The sequence below is a fragment of the Homo sapiens genome, chromosome 1 (genome assembly GCF_000001405.40).
Source record: "Homo sapiens chromosome 1, GRCh38.p14 Primary Assembly".
Classification (NCBI taxonomy): domain Eukaryota; kingdom Metazoa; phylum Chordata; class Mammalia; order Primates; family Hominidae; genus Homo; species Homo sapiens.
This window is the reverse complement of record NC_000001.11, coordinates 30874113-30886527: the sequence shown is the minus strand read 5'-3', so window position 1 is coordinate 30886527 and position 12415 is coordinate 30874113. Positions and strand designations below refer to the sequence as shown.

The 12415-nt window shown below is 56.3% G+C and overlaps 1 protein-coding gene across 4 annotated transcripts in view, besides 3 other annotated features; it reads left to right on the top strand.

Annotated features, from left to right (window-relative positions):
* Positions 1–12415, top strand: part of SDC3 (syndecan 3) — a 40270-nt gene that overhangs the window by 23208 nt on the left and 4647 nt on the right. For 3 of the 4 annotated variants that reach the window (XM_011542463.1, NM_014654.4, XM_011542464.3), the window contains exons 2-4: positions 7788–7905; positions 9363–9976; positions 11940–12231. In XM_011542463.1, coding sequence (XP_011540765.1) covers positions 7788–7905; positions 9363–9976; positions 11940–12231 — 1024 coding nt within the window. Of the gene's footprint in view, positions 1–6437; positions 7600–7787; positions 7906–9362; positions 9977–11939; positions 12232–12415 lie in introns of those variants that run through there. The other variant, XM_011542466.2, reaches the window with a different exon arrangement.
* Positions 252–752: an enhancer, noted in NCBI's record as "H3K4me1 hESC enhancer chr1:31358623-31359123 (GRCh37/hg19 assembly coordinates)". NCBI's record gives its function as "activates a minimal SCP1, AML or CMV promoter by ChIP-STARR-seq in naive H9 embryonic stem cells {active_cell/tissue: H9 hESC(naive)}" and the evidence as "EXISTENCE:reporter gene assay evidence [ECO:0000049][PMID:30033119]".
* Positions 5095–5154: a silencer, noted in NCBI's record as "silent region_562". NCBI's record gives its function as "represses an Ori minimal core promoter by ATAC-STARR-seq in GM12878 lymphoblastoid cells {active_cell/tissue: GM12878}" and the evidence as "EXISTENCE:reporter gene assay evidence [ECO:0000049][PMID:35858748]".
* Positions 5165–5214: a silencer, noted in NCBI's record as "silent region_561". NCBI's record gives its function as "represses an Ori minimal core promoter by ATAC-STARR-seq in GM12878 lymphoblastoid cells {active_cell/tissue: GM12878}" and the evidence as "EXISTENCE:reporter gene assay evidence [ECO:0000049][PMID:35858748]".

Genomic DNA, 12415 nt, shown 5'->3' with positions numbered 1-12415 from the left:
TGAGTGGTTTCACTGAGATCCAGTGGAAGGGCCTGTTAGAGTGATGGGAGCATGGTTGGTGGGCCTTCTCCCTTAGTAAATGACAACACAGTGGAGGTACTGAGTCCCCAAGAAAGGACTTCCTAATTTGGACCAGGGAGGTGGTTGGCGTGCGTATGTGACATTCAAGCAGGCTGACAAAGGAGGCATTGTGTGAGCTGAGCCAGCTTTGTGGGGACATATCTAGTGCCTAGGATGGTGCTTGGCACACAGTAGGAGCTTAATAACCATTGGTTTTACTGATTAACCAGCTGAGTAGGTGCTGGCCAGGCAGAGATGGTGGGGAAAGGTATTCCAGGAAGCAGGAACAGGCCTGAAGGAGCCCGTGTTCCCAGAACTGTAAATAGTTTTGTGTGGGAGGAGTATGGGGGTGGGCAGCTGGGAGTGGGGTGTGGGGGGTGCTGCTGGGTCTGGAAACGGGGCCTCAGTGGGTGGTCCTGCTCTCAGGCACGAGCTTGGGGACAGGCATCAATGAGCAGTGTGAGTCAGGGTGGCCAAGAGTGACGTGAGAGGGCAGGTGGCTGGGATTGATGGGGCGGTGACGGAGGCGTCCCAGCCCTGGGTTGAGGAGGGGGCCTGGCTTTCCCAGGGTTGCATTGTCAGCTTCTGTCTAGGCACAGGGGACAGAGTGGGCTGCTGTAGGGCAGCCAGTCTGCACCTCAACAGAGACTGGCCAGCCCGGCTGAGCCAGGAACAGGGCTGATGGGAGAAGGCGGGCGGGTGGGTGTCTGGGCACCACAGGCCAAGGTGGCCGCCAGACAGGCTGATGCCAGGGGAGGGAGCCAGGTCCTGCCAAGCCAGCCTGTCTGTGGTGAGACTCGGTTGGGCCGTGGGCCCTGCCAGCTCCCTCAGAGGCTTTTGTGTTCATTTCCTTTCCACCCCCCTTTTCAGTTTCCTCGTAAGGTCCCTCACGAACAGTCTCAATGGGGTCTCAGCAGAACCAGGGGACCCGGAAGTTTCACAGACCAGAGAACACCAGGGATGGAGACTCAGGGAGGATGTGCGCTCTCTAATAACAAAAGTGCTATGGGTTTATCGGAGAAATTGTGGAAAATACAGAAAGGTCCTGAGAAGAAATTAAAGCTGCCTGTAATCCCACCACCCAGAGAGAGCCTCTGGGAACCTTTAGTTATAATGCAGCATTTGGAAATTCACTTTGATAGTGAGTTCATTAAAACAGGATCAAGTTCTACATATTTTTTGTAACCTATTTTTTAAACATAATGATGATACTCATATTAATAGCCAGCATTTACTGAGCAATTTGTTAATGGGTGAACATGCCCAGCCTCCTTCTGTAAACCCCACGAGGTGGGCATTCTTATCTTTGTTTTACCAGTTAAAGCAGCCTGAGAGAGTTAAATATCTGCCCAAAGTCACATCGGAATTGAGAGAGCCATCTGCATATTCCTATCAACAGCTATACTGTCTTGTCTTCTGATGATCAATATGTGCATTTTCCTACATCCTTCAATATTCCTTGTAGCAAGTAAAAAAAAGCCTTCTATGACACATTTATGTCTTTTAATAACCTCATTAGACAGTGTAGATTTGTGAGAACTCAATTGTTGATAGCTGCGTAATATTCCATGTTATGGTTGTACCCTCATTTATTTAACTCGTCCCCTGTCGTTCAGTATGTGGGTTATTTCCATTTTTTCCCTCTCGTAAATTACATTGTCCTGGATCTCCTTGACCTAAGGATCAAATTCTTGGGAGTCCAGAGTGTCAGAATCAGAAAGGCCCTTAGACCACCATGCTTGGTTTTCCATTTTGCAAATGGGGCAAAGGAAAGGCAGAGAAGGGGGAAGAGGATTTGTCCACGGTCTTGGAGGCTGTGGGCGCCTGAGCCAGGGCTGCTACCTGCTCTCCTGTTGGGGCTGGGGTGGGGATGTGGGTGGAGGCAGGTGCCACAGTGGGAAAAAGGGCATCCTGGGGGGATGGTGGGAACACAGGGCTGGGTAGAGGGCAGACTGGAGGTGACAGGAGAGATACAGGCTTGGGGTAGGGAGGGCTCTGCTGCCATGATATCTTTGCAGAGGAGTTGACTGGGATGGGACAGGCCCAAAGGGAACATTTCCTGCCCTCTGAGCTGCCTTTGTAGATGGGAGTAGGGGGTGGGGATAGGTTTGGTTTGTGAGAGGCTTGAGTGTGTGAGTTGGGGCGAGTGGGAGGGTGTGTGTCTGGGCTTGGTGGATTTTTCTTGGGGGGGGTCTGTGGTGTTTCAGCTTGGCCTTCTCTGCCCTCCCCATTCCACTCCTCCCCGGGCTTCTGCTCTCTGGGACTTGGGCTCCATAGCCCCTTCCCCAGCAGGTGCAGTCCTCGTGCCCCTCATCTCCAGCCACAAGTGGGTGTGGGACTGCCGGCTTCCTGGCCAGGGCAGCTGTGGCTGGGTGGGGGTGGGGACTGAGACATCCCCCTCCTGGTCCCGGCTCCCAATTGTGCAGCCCCCTTGGCTGTCTTGCTGCCCGGAGCTTGGCCCCAGCCCACATTCCTGCGGTGATGCTCTGGGTCTCCGGGGTGGATCTGGTGAGCGTGAGGGGCACTGAGTTCTCACAGGACTGAGGGCTTTTTGGGGACGGAGCCTGCAGGGATCCAGAGGGCCATGCTGAGACACCCTCCCTCCCTGCCTCGAGGAGCTAGTAGTTACGTCGCTGTGTGTCTTTGGGCAAATCACTTTACCTCTCTGAATGCTTCGTGGCAGACTAACCCCGCCCCCTCCTTTCGTGATAAGCAAGGCTTTCCCCTCTCTGTGCCTCAGTTTCCACATCGGTAAAAGGGGAGAGTTGAACTCAGTGATCCCTCAGGCCCAGTGTAGCCTTGAAGTTGCAGCCTGAGGTGGGAAGTGCAGGCTGTAGGAATATAGACAAAGCCTTATACGGCTCCGACTGTGTGCAGGCATGATCTCACTTGATTCTCACAACTGCCCTATGAAGTATCATTGTTGGCCTCATTTAACCAAACAGGCTCAGAGAGGTTAAGTAACACATCCAAAGTCACCCAGCAAGTAAGCAGAGCTGAATTTGAATCCAAGACTGTCAGAACCTAAAGCTGGGCCCCCACCCCTTGCTCATGTCGCCTCTGGTCACCAGGAAAGTGAGGCCTGAGTCTGGCTAATTAGGGGAAGGAAGCTCGGGCAGAACTAATTACACTCGATTTTATTCTTGGCTTTTTGCAACATGATTAGCGCTGCACAGGGGTGCCGGGCTCCTGGCCCCCAGCCTGCTGACCTAATTTGTGTGCTTGTGTCTGTTTCTGTAACTTGCCCTTTCTCCCCCTTCATCCAACCTCTCTCTTTTTGTCTCTCTCTGCACTCTCCCCTGCTGTGTGGCCTTGGCAATGCCACTTAACCTCTCCGGGCATTAATCGTCTCATCTGCCTGGGTGTAGTCATCCCAATTTGGCTTCCCTCATGAGGAGGTTGAGGCTTACATGAGATAAAGGCTTCGAAATAATAATAGAAATTTTAACATAAACTAACAGCAATCGTGGCTACACTGATTTATTCATTTTTCACTTGGTGTCGGGTCCTGTGCTTAGCCCCTTCCCACAGCAATGCTATGAGCTGCGTAGTCTTCTCATCATCTCCATTTTACAGATGAGAAAACTGAGGTGCTGAGATTAAATGGCTTGCCTGACAGCCAACCGGGTAGTAAAGAGGAGCTGGTTCATTATGCTTTGCCTCTGTGCTGACCGGTTTCTCTAGGAAGGCTCATGGTGGTGTGGGGCTGGGCACGAGAGACCCCAAATTCTGGAGTGGGCTCTGAGAGAGGATGGGGTGGGAGGGATGCACTGGCCTTCCTGAACGTGTCCCCTGCACTCAGAGTGAGTGATGAGTGGGTGGGTAGAGGTAGCCGTGAAAGTGAGGAGACTTAGCTGACATCCAGCTCATTTGGACCCTCACCCATCACAGCCCTGATGGGGTGCTCCTGGGAGGGAGGGGGCTGGGCAACCTGGGAGGTGGCACCTCCTTGCCCCTGGCCCAGGGGAGCCTCCCCAGCTGCTGCTCTAAAACTCTAGGAGAGGATCGGTGGGAGTGGATGTGGAGTGAGGGGGCCTGTGGGTCACTGCTGGGCCTGGTCCCTTCTGGGCTGGGAGCCTGAGGTGCCTCTGTGGAGTGAGGCTGTGGGTTACTTCAGGAAGGTGTGGTGACTAGGGGACTGTGAGGAAAAATGGAAGCAGGGGGCATCAGTCCACTAGGAAGGGTGCCACATTTCATCCCGATGTGTGTGTGCACTTGTGTGTACCCGGAAGGAAAGTGCGTGTTTGCGCGCATGTGTGTGTGGAGGGAACTGAGATGCAGGTATTGTGGACCTGTTAATGGCATGTGAGGCGGGATGTATGTCTGCTGGGGCAGGTTCAGGGAGGGACAAGTAGGCTGCGCACATGTGGAGGCAGGGTGTTGGGAGTGCCTGGTGTGTTGGGTCCCGTGCTCAGCCCCTTCTCCTGCAATGCTATGAGCTGCATAGTCTTATCACCATCGTGTGCTGGCGCGTGGGTGTGGATGTTGGGTGGGCATGGACAGCTGTGGGCATTGCCGAGTTGATGTCATGCAGGGGGTGAGGGCAGCTGCGGGGCACAGATGTATGAATTTAGCCCTGGACAAGCAATGGGTCTGGGGGTGGCTCAGGAATGTCCAGGACAAGGGTTTCAGAGACAGAGGCCTCATGCCTGGATTCTAACCCCTGCCTCAGTTCCTGCATCTGTGGAATGGGGATGATAAAACCCTGGGCAGTTGTGATGCTTAAAGGAGGCTGCATAAATAACATGCTCCCAGCACCTGGCCTGGGGCAGGCCCTCAGCAGCAGCAGGCAGAGGTCTCTAGAGTGCCCTGGGAACGCTCAGCGGCTCCCCTGGGACCTGATGCTCAGGCCTTCATGGGCCGCTTGCGGAGCCTCTGCTGGGTGTCCCCTCCCGAGATCAGTGGTGGCCGGAAGCAGAAGGTTCAGTGCTTCCACCGGGCACGCTCGCTGTGTGTGGGGGGTGCAGCCGAGAGGAAAGGTTGTATCCGAGTTGTGAGGTTCATGTCTGAGTCAGAGGATGCACCTGCCGAGGGTGATGTCTAGGAGCGATGTGTGTTTAGGGAACATACGTGGCCATGGCGGTGGGTCCGTGTTGTGGGCCTTGGTGAGGTGAGTGTGGTGCGTGGGGTCAGGAGAATGTGCTGAGGTTTCTCGGGGGCATCCGTGGGGTGTGTGGTGAGGAGAGGAGTGTGTGTGTGTGTCTGTGAGTACCCTAGGGCATGTGTACAGGCAGCTAGGGGTGAAGTAGATGGGTGAGTGTGTGCTGGTGTGGGCTGGGCTGTATTGCCTATAGGCTGTGGTGAGTATACAGATTGGTGTGGGCAAACATTGCACTTAATAGTGTGTGTGTGTATCCATTGGGGTGCATAGTACATGCAGAAGAATATATATGCATGAGGATGTTGGGCTGTCGTGTGTGTGTGTGTGTGTGTGTGTGTGCATGCGTGCGCGCGTGTCTTGGGGGTATGGAAGCCTCCTATCAGGCATGGGGGGGTTGTGTTTACCTGGAGGGGGCACAGTGAGGGTCAAGGAGAAGCTGGCAGCGTCCTGGGGCTTTTGGATTCAGTTCTCCTTTAAGGGAATGGCATGGATAATTATGCTTATTATGATGGATTATGCAAATGCGGAGGTCGTTTGGGGGTCAAAGCCTGCTTGTCACCCTCCTCCTCAGGCATTCTGTGACTTCTAAGGCTTTCCCTGCTGCCTCCCAGGCTCCGTTCCCCAACCCCTATTTCTCTGTCCCCTCTGGGAGTTGCAGCTACCAGCACCCCCTCTGTAGTGTTCCTGAGAGGGCCTCATGAGTCCCAGCGCCCATGCCTGCAGGTCCCAGGTGTCCTCGCATTAAGTTCCCGCTGAGCATCCCAGGTGGGCTCAGGGGTGACTGGGCCGTTCCTCCCCCTGCACACCCTGCCATTGGGGATGCTTGCTGTTCGGAAAGAATGTACTCTTGGAAGCAGGTTTGGAAAATTACTGAGGTGGCCCCTTCCCCAGCCTTGCCTCATCAGCATGAGGCTAAATTAGGATGTGTGAGTTCTCCCCTCTGCCTCCCACCCTTGCCTTCTCTCCTTCTCTCGTACCCCCAGCCCACCCTCCCCGTCTCTGCCCCTCTGCCCCCTGGCCTCCCTCAGTCCTCGACTCTCTGTCACCGTCTCTGTCTCTGCCTCCCCCTTCCCTGTCATCCTCTCAGTTCCCCCGTGATCTCTCCCTCTCCTGTACCACCCCATCTCTGTGGGGAGCTGCAGCTCCTGGTCGTTAGCATGGAGAAGATGGTCGTCATGGTAACGGTTGTCATGTCGATGGCTACTGAGCTGGGGATGAATAGTATGTAGGTGAGCGCTACCTGAGTGGAGGCTGATGGGTTTCCAGGAGGCTCGATGCTTGTCTCTGAGCTCAGAGCTGCACAGCAGGCCCAGCTCCTCCTGCCCCATGTGAGTGGCTGTTTTTACCCCCAGGCATGCTGACACGCTGAGCCCTCTGTGGCTGCTTTTAGGTGAGCATGTTTCAGTGTGTGTCTGTGCATGTGCTGTGTCTCTGGGGTGTGTCATTTCAAGGGTCTATGTGGCATGGGGGTAGGTCTTTGGGTTTGTACAGGCTTTTCTTGGAGCAGGAAGTTAGGGGCTAAGTGGCACTGGTCACTGAGGAATCTTGGGGACTCCCTTGTTTTGGCACCCACATTTACTTCAGTTGGGGGCTTCCAGGGACCACAGACCTCTTAGTATCCCTCCTCCCAGCTAAAGGCCTCCCAGCCACTGCCCAGCCTACTGGGAAGGATAGAAAGACAGTGAAGACAGCCCTGGGCAGGGGCAGGAGCCGGAGCCTGGGTCCCTGCTCAGTCCCCATTCTTCTGTGTGACTTCAGGCTGCTTGCCAGAGAGCTGGAGGGAGCAGGGACTCCAGGTTGGCTGGTTCAGGTTGTGGAGGGGAGTGCCATGGGGAGTTCTAGCTCCTCCACCGTGGGTATTTTTCTTTCTGGGCAGAGGGGAGCTGGGGAAAAGTTGGGCCCTACTGCTCTGAGCTCCTAGAATGTTTAAAAAAGGAGGAAGACCCAGCAATTCGTCACGGGAGAAATTACACTAATTGTTCCACTCCATGACTCACTGGTAGAAAGTAAATACTGATTAATTCATTACTTTGAGACTATGTGTGTGTGTGCATTTTGTGAGGGGGCACCTCCTGGCTCCCTGCCCTGGCTGGGCTGGGCAGGGCTCTGGAGCAGGTGGTTGAGGCTGGGGATATGAAGACAGGATTGAGATCCTCACTCTGGCTCTGTATCAACTCCAGAAGGGGGCCCATCAGTGGCAGGGGGTGAGAGGCTGGGCCCCAAATGCAGGGCCATTCCAGCCCTCGCCTGCTCACACATGCCCCAGGGCTCCCCACAGCCAGCCCAACATTGCGGCTGCTCAGAGACCACCCCAGACCTACTGAACCACTGAATTTAGTTTTCACAATATTCAGATGTGCAGTCAAGATGAAAAATGACCAGTTTCTAAGAGAAAGTCATCAGCCAGACACTGAAAGCCTTCTGGGATGGGACCCCAGGTGACTTGCCACACCCCACCCCTGCCCTGTGAATTATTCACACACGCACTTTCCTTCAGGGTACACACAAGATCTCTGTCACCCACGTGGATGTCACTCAGCCCACAAGGGCACCTGTCGCCCTTCTGGGCTCACCCAGGCTGCCAGTCTCGGGTGCCGAGCCCTGTGTCCACCTCTACCTTCCCTAGGCCCAGCGCTGGCGCAGTGAGAACTTCGAGAGACCCGTGGACCTGGAGGGCTCTGGGGATGATGACTCCTTTCCCGATGATGAACTGGATGACCTCTACTCGGGGTCGGGCTCGGGCTGTAAGTACCCCCCTCCCTACCTCTGCCTGGGGGCAGTGACCAGTCTGTATCCAGCCTCAACTCTGAGAAGCCCACGGGGGGCTTGCTTCAGTGAGGCAGGGGGCATTCACTGCCTGGGTCAGGCAAGTTCTTCTTGCTCTGGATCCCCAGAACAAGAAGGGCAGAACATCCTTCTGGGGATAGAACAAGACCTGGGAGGACCTCAGGGCCCAGAATGTCCAGGTCTCCAGGGTCCCACGTCTGCATCTTTGTGTGTGCTATGTGGCTTTCTCTGCAGACCTTGCTTGGTTCCGGTGGTCCCGTCAGGTGCAATAAGCTGTGGCCAATGGTGGGGTTAGGGCAGTGATGACACAGGGCAGGTGCTTCAAGTGGTGCCTGGGATGGCCCCGCCCTGGGGAAGGGGAGCCAGGTCAGCTGGGTCTAGCAGAATCTCGGGAGAGAAGGGCACCGCGAACCCCACTCTGCCATGTAGCAACTGTGTGCCCCTCGGTGCTCCCCCTCCCTGAATCCCTGTATTTTCACCTGTGGATGGTGAGAAATACGACTTCTTCTCAGTGCCTCTAGGAGGGTTTGGGATAGGAAGCTGGGGTCTGGCACAGAGGAGGAGCTCTCAAAATGGTAGCAAAAAGAAGGCAGCTGAGACTGGGCCCAGTGAGGGCACGGGCTGGCATCTGAGGAGATGGTACGGGGTCTGCACGCCACAGAGCTGGCTCCCCACAGCCCTCGCCTCTGGTCTCCCCTCCTTAGCCAAGTCCTTTGAGCCTCTTTCAAATTAATCTTTGTAAAACCCGTTTATATTGGGTCACATCTCTATTCGCAAAGTTCCCTGGCTCCCCTCCCTCCTGCCTGGTTCCGAGCCCAGGAGCTGGCTGTGGCTTCTCCCTCCCCCATCCCCTACTCCCCATCTCATTTCCTCCCAAGTTCCTTCACTGTCCCGGCTTTGCGTCAGCCAGATTGCTCAAGCAGTTCCCCTGCCTCAAGGGCTTCTTTTCCCTTTTACCCTCCGCCTCTGCCTCTGGGGGAAGCCCTTAGTGTACCACCCCTGCCTTGAGCTTGTGGTAGGGGTGCCTTTGGGGTCTGACTCTTCCCAGAATGCCACTCCTGTGTTCCCCTGCAAGCCCCAGCAAGTTTTGCAGCCAGTAGCGCCTCAGTTGCTGCTGCCTGGATTCAACCTCATAGAAACTGTAGGCTGGGTGGGCAGGAATAGTCAAGGAAGGCTTCCCGGGAGAGGCGGCCCCCAGAATTTTTGACTTGGCAGAGAGAAGTTGGGGAACATCAGCAACTGACCACCTTTAGCTGGGCTGTGCCTTCCTCCTTTCTCTCATCTTTTCTGGGAAAATTGGGTAAAGAGAGGGGGTTGGGAGACCTAATCTTGATGGCCATTGCTTACCTGGGATCCTCATGCCCCTCACAACCACCCAGCTCCCTAGCTCTCTCCCTCTCCCCCACCCCCTCAGACTTCGAGCAGGAGTCGGGCATTGAGACAGCCATGCGCTTCAGCCCAGATGTAGCCCTGGCGGTGTCCACCACACCTGCGGTGCTGCCCACCACGAACATCCAGCCTGTGGGCACACCATTTGAAGAGCTCCCCTCTGAGCGCCCCACCCTGGAGCCAGCCACCAGCCCCCTGGTGGTGACAGAAGTCCCGGAAGAGCCCAGCCAGAGAGCCACCACCGTCTCCACTACCATGGCTACCACTGCTGCCACAAGCACAGGGGACCCGACTGTGGCCACAGTGCCTGCCACAGTGGCCACCGCCACCCCCAGCACCCCTGCAGCACCCCCTTTTACGGCCACCACTGCTGTTATAAGGACCACTGGCGTACGGAGGCTTCTGCCTCTCCCACTGACCACAGTGGCTACGGCACGGGCCACTACCCCCGAGGCGCCCTCCCCGCCCACCACGGCGGCTGTCTTGGACACCGAGGCCCCAACACCCAGGCTGGTCAGCACAGCTACCTCCCGGCCAAGAGCCCTTCCCAGGCCGGCCACCACCCAGGAGCCTGACATCCCTGAGAGGAGCACCCTGCCCCTGGGGACCACTGCCCCTGGACCCACAGAGGTGGCTCAGGTGAGGGTGTTGAGAAGGGACAGGGAGGAGGGCGGAGGAGGGTGGGTCAGGGGAGGGATGAGGAGGATGGGGCTGGACAGGACTGAGGACCAGGAGGCTATAGAGATGAGCCAGACAAAGTGGGGGCGAGGGGCAGGACCAAGGGACAGAGATCGGATAGGGAGGGAAGAGGGACAGAAAACGAGGGCTGGGGTGGTTGGATCCTAATGGGATGGGACATTGGTGGGGAAGGAATTGGGTGAACGTGTGCATTGGTGACAAGGGGGGCCGGGCTGAGTGTTTCGGTTGAGAGAATTAATTCAGTGGTCTGGCAGCTGGATTAGAATCTTTCCACTGCCACTTCCTAGTCACGGGACCTCAGGCCAGTCCCTGATCATTTCTATACCTCCGCTTCCTCATCTACGGAAAGGAGAAAACAATAGAATGTGTATCATTTCATTGTGAGCGTGAAGTCTCCTGACATCCACAGTGCTTAGAACAGCGCCTGGTGATGGTACAGCCAGTGGGTTCTCAGCTGCTGTCGTCATCACGGTTGTTATTATCATGGGTCTGAGGGTGGTTAAGAGCTGGTGTATGAGAAGGCATCACTCGCCTTGTGGAGGGCTGCCTGGGTGTGGGTCAGTGCTCAGCACTTTACCTGTGTTAGCCCCAGCCCTCATGCCCACCCCACGGGCAGCACTGTGGTCATCTCATTTTACAGACGAGCAACTGTGGGTGCACAGGGAGGTGAAGCCACTTCCCAAGGCTCCGCAGCCAGCGATGACAGTCAGGATTTGAACCCAGGCAGTTGGTGCCAGAGCCGGGCAGTCTCGCAGGGCCAGGGCTGCATGTGTGTGCATTTGGGATATTCTGGATGGGGCAGGGGAATTGATGGGAAGAGGATGAAGATGTCAGGAGTGCCAGGGATGGATGAATCCCAAGGACATGAGAGAGGTGGTCTGGTCCCAGCTGGGTGCACTAAGTAAGATGGAGAGGTGGGAACATGGACTGGGTGCCAGAGCCCTCTGCAGCTGGCCTCACTGTGGAAGGCCCTTGGGCCGTGGCGCTGCCTTGGGGTCAGTGTCAGTCCCTCTGACTCCCCAGCCAGCTCTAGCAGGATGCAGGCCCTTCCCTTGCCTCCTCAAGCAGCTGGGGCAGCCTGGTGTTTTCACACAGACTTGGCCAAGCAGGAAGGGGAAACAGTGATGGGGCACGGAGCCCAGGAGAAGGTGCACAGGGCCCAGGTTGCTGGAGGAGCCATTGTGCACGCTGTGTACGCTGGGGCACTGCTGCAGCCTCTTTTCAGCCTGGACATCAGGCCTGCCTTTCCATGCCCACCTTTGAAGTAGCGACATCCCTGCTCTGATGGCTCCCACAGCCCCCACTTTGGTCTCATCATTCCCAGCTCTGATCCTGCCTCCGAGTGGTGGGAGCCCTAGAGATTGTCAGTCACTGAGCTGGTTTCCGGGACACCTGCCCCTGAGGCCATCATAGTCTGCAGGTTGTGCTCTTGGACTGGCCTCCAGGCTACAGAATGCTCCCCTGCCTTAGGCATGGACTGGGACCAGGCCCACATCCATAGCATCTGCACCCAGCAGTTCCCAAACAGCTTCTCGGCAGGAATCCCCCAAGGATTGTTACTAAGGCAGCTGGAGGGGACATGAGGGGGACAGGATGTCCAGAGCAAGAACAGAGGCAGTGTGTTAGTGGTTAGAAACACAGACTGTGGAGACAGATAGATCTGAATTTTAGTTCTGTCCCCCACTTACTAGCTGTGTGTCCTTGGGCAGGTCATTTATGCTCTGAGCTGACTTCCTGCTCTGTAAACTGGGGGCATTGTTACACTCCTTCATGGGGATAGTGTGTAGCACAGTGCCTGGCATGTAGGGAGTGCTAAGTGTTAGCCCCCCAGGGCAGTAGGATGGTGGTGGGGGGTTATGCATGCATGTGTGGTTGTCCTGGGCTCATGCCACCCTCTCTGCAGACCCCAACTCCAGAGACCTTCCTGACCACAATCCGGGATGAGCCAGAGGTTCCGGTGAGTGGGGGGCCCAGTGGAGACTTCGAGCTGCCAGAAGAAGAGACCACACAACCAGACACAGCCAATGAGGTGGTAGCTGTGGGAGGGGCTGCGGCCAAGGCATCATCTCCACCTGGGACACTGCCCAAGGGTGCCCGCCCGGGCCCTGGCCTCCTGGACAATGCCATCGACTCGGGCAGCTCAGCTGCTCAGCTGCCTCAGAAGAGTATCCTGGAGCGGAAGGAGGTGCTCGTAGGTGAGGCTTGGGGTCTGGGCCAAGGGGAGCCTGGGAGGATACCAGAGTGAGACAGCTGGCTGGGCCTCAGTTTGCCTCTAGGAACCCAGAAAGGAGATCAGGGCGTGGTTTCCTAGGAGCCAGATAGGAAGGAAACTTGAGAACTCAACCCCCCAGGACCTGCCTTCTGGCTCCTCCCAACTTT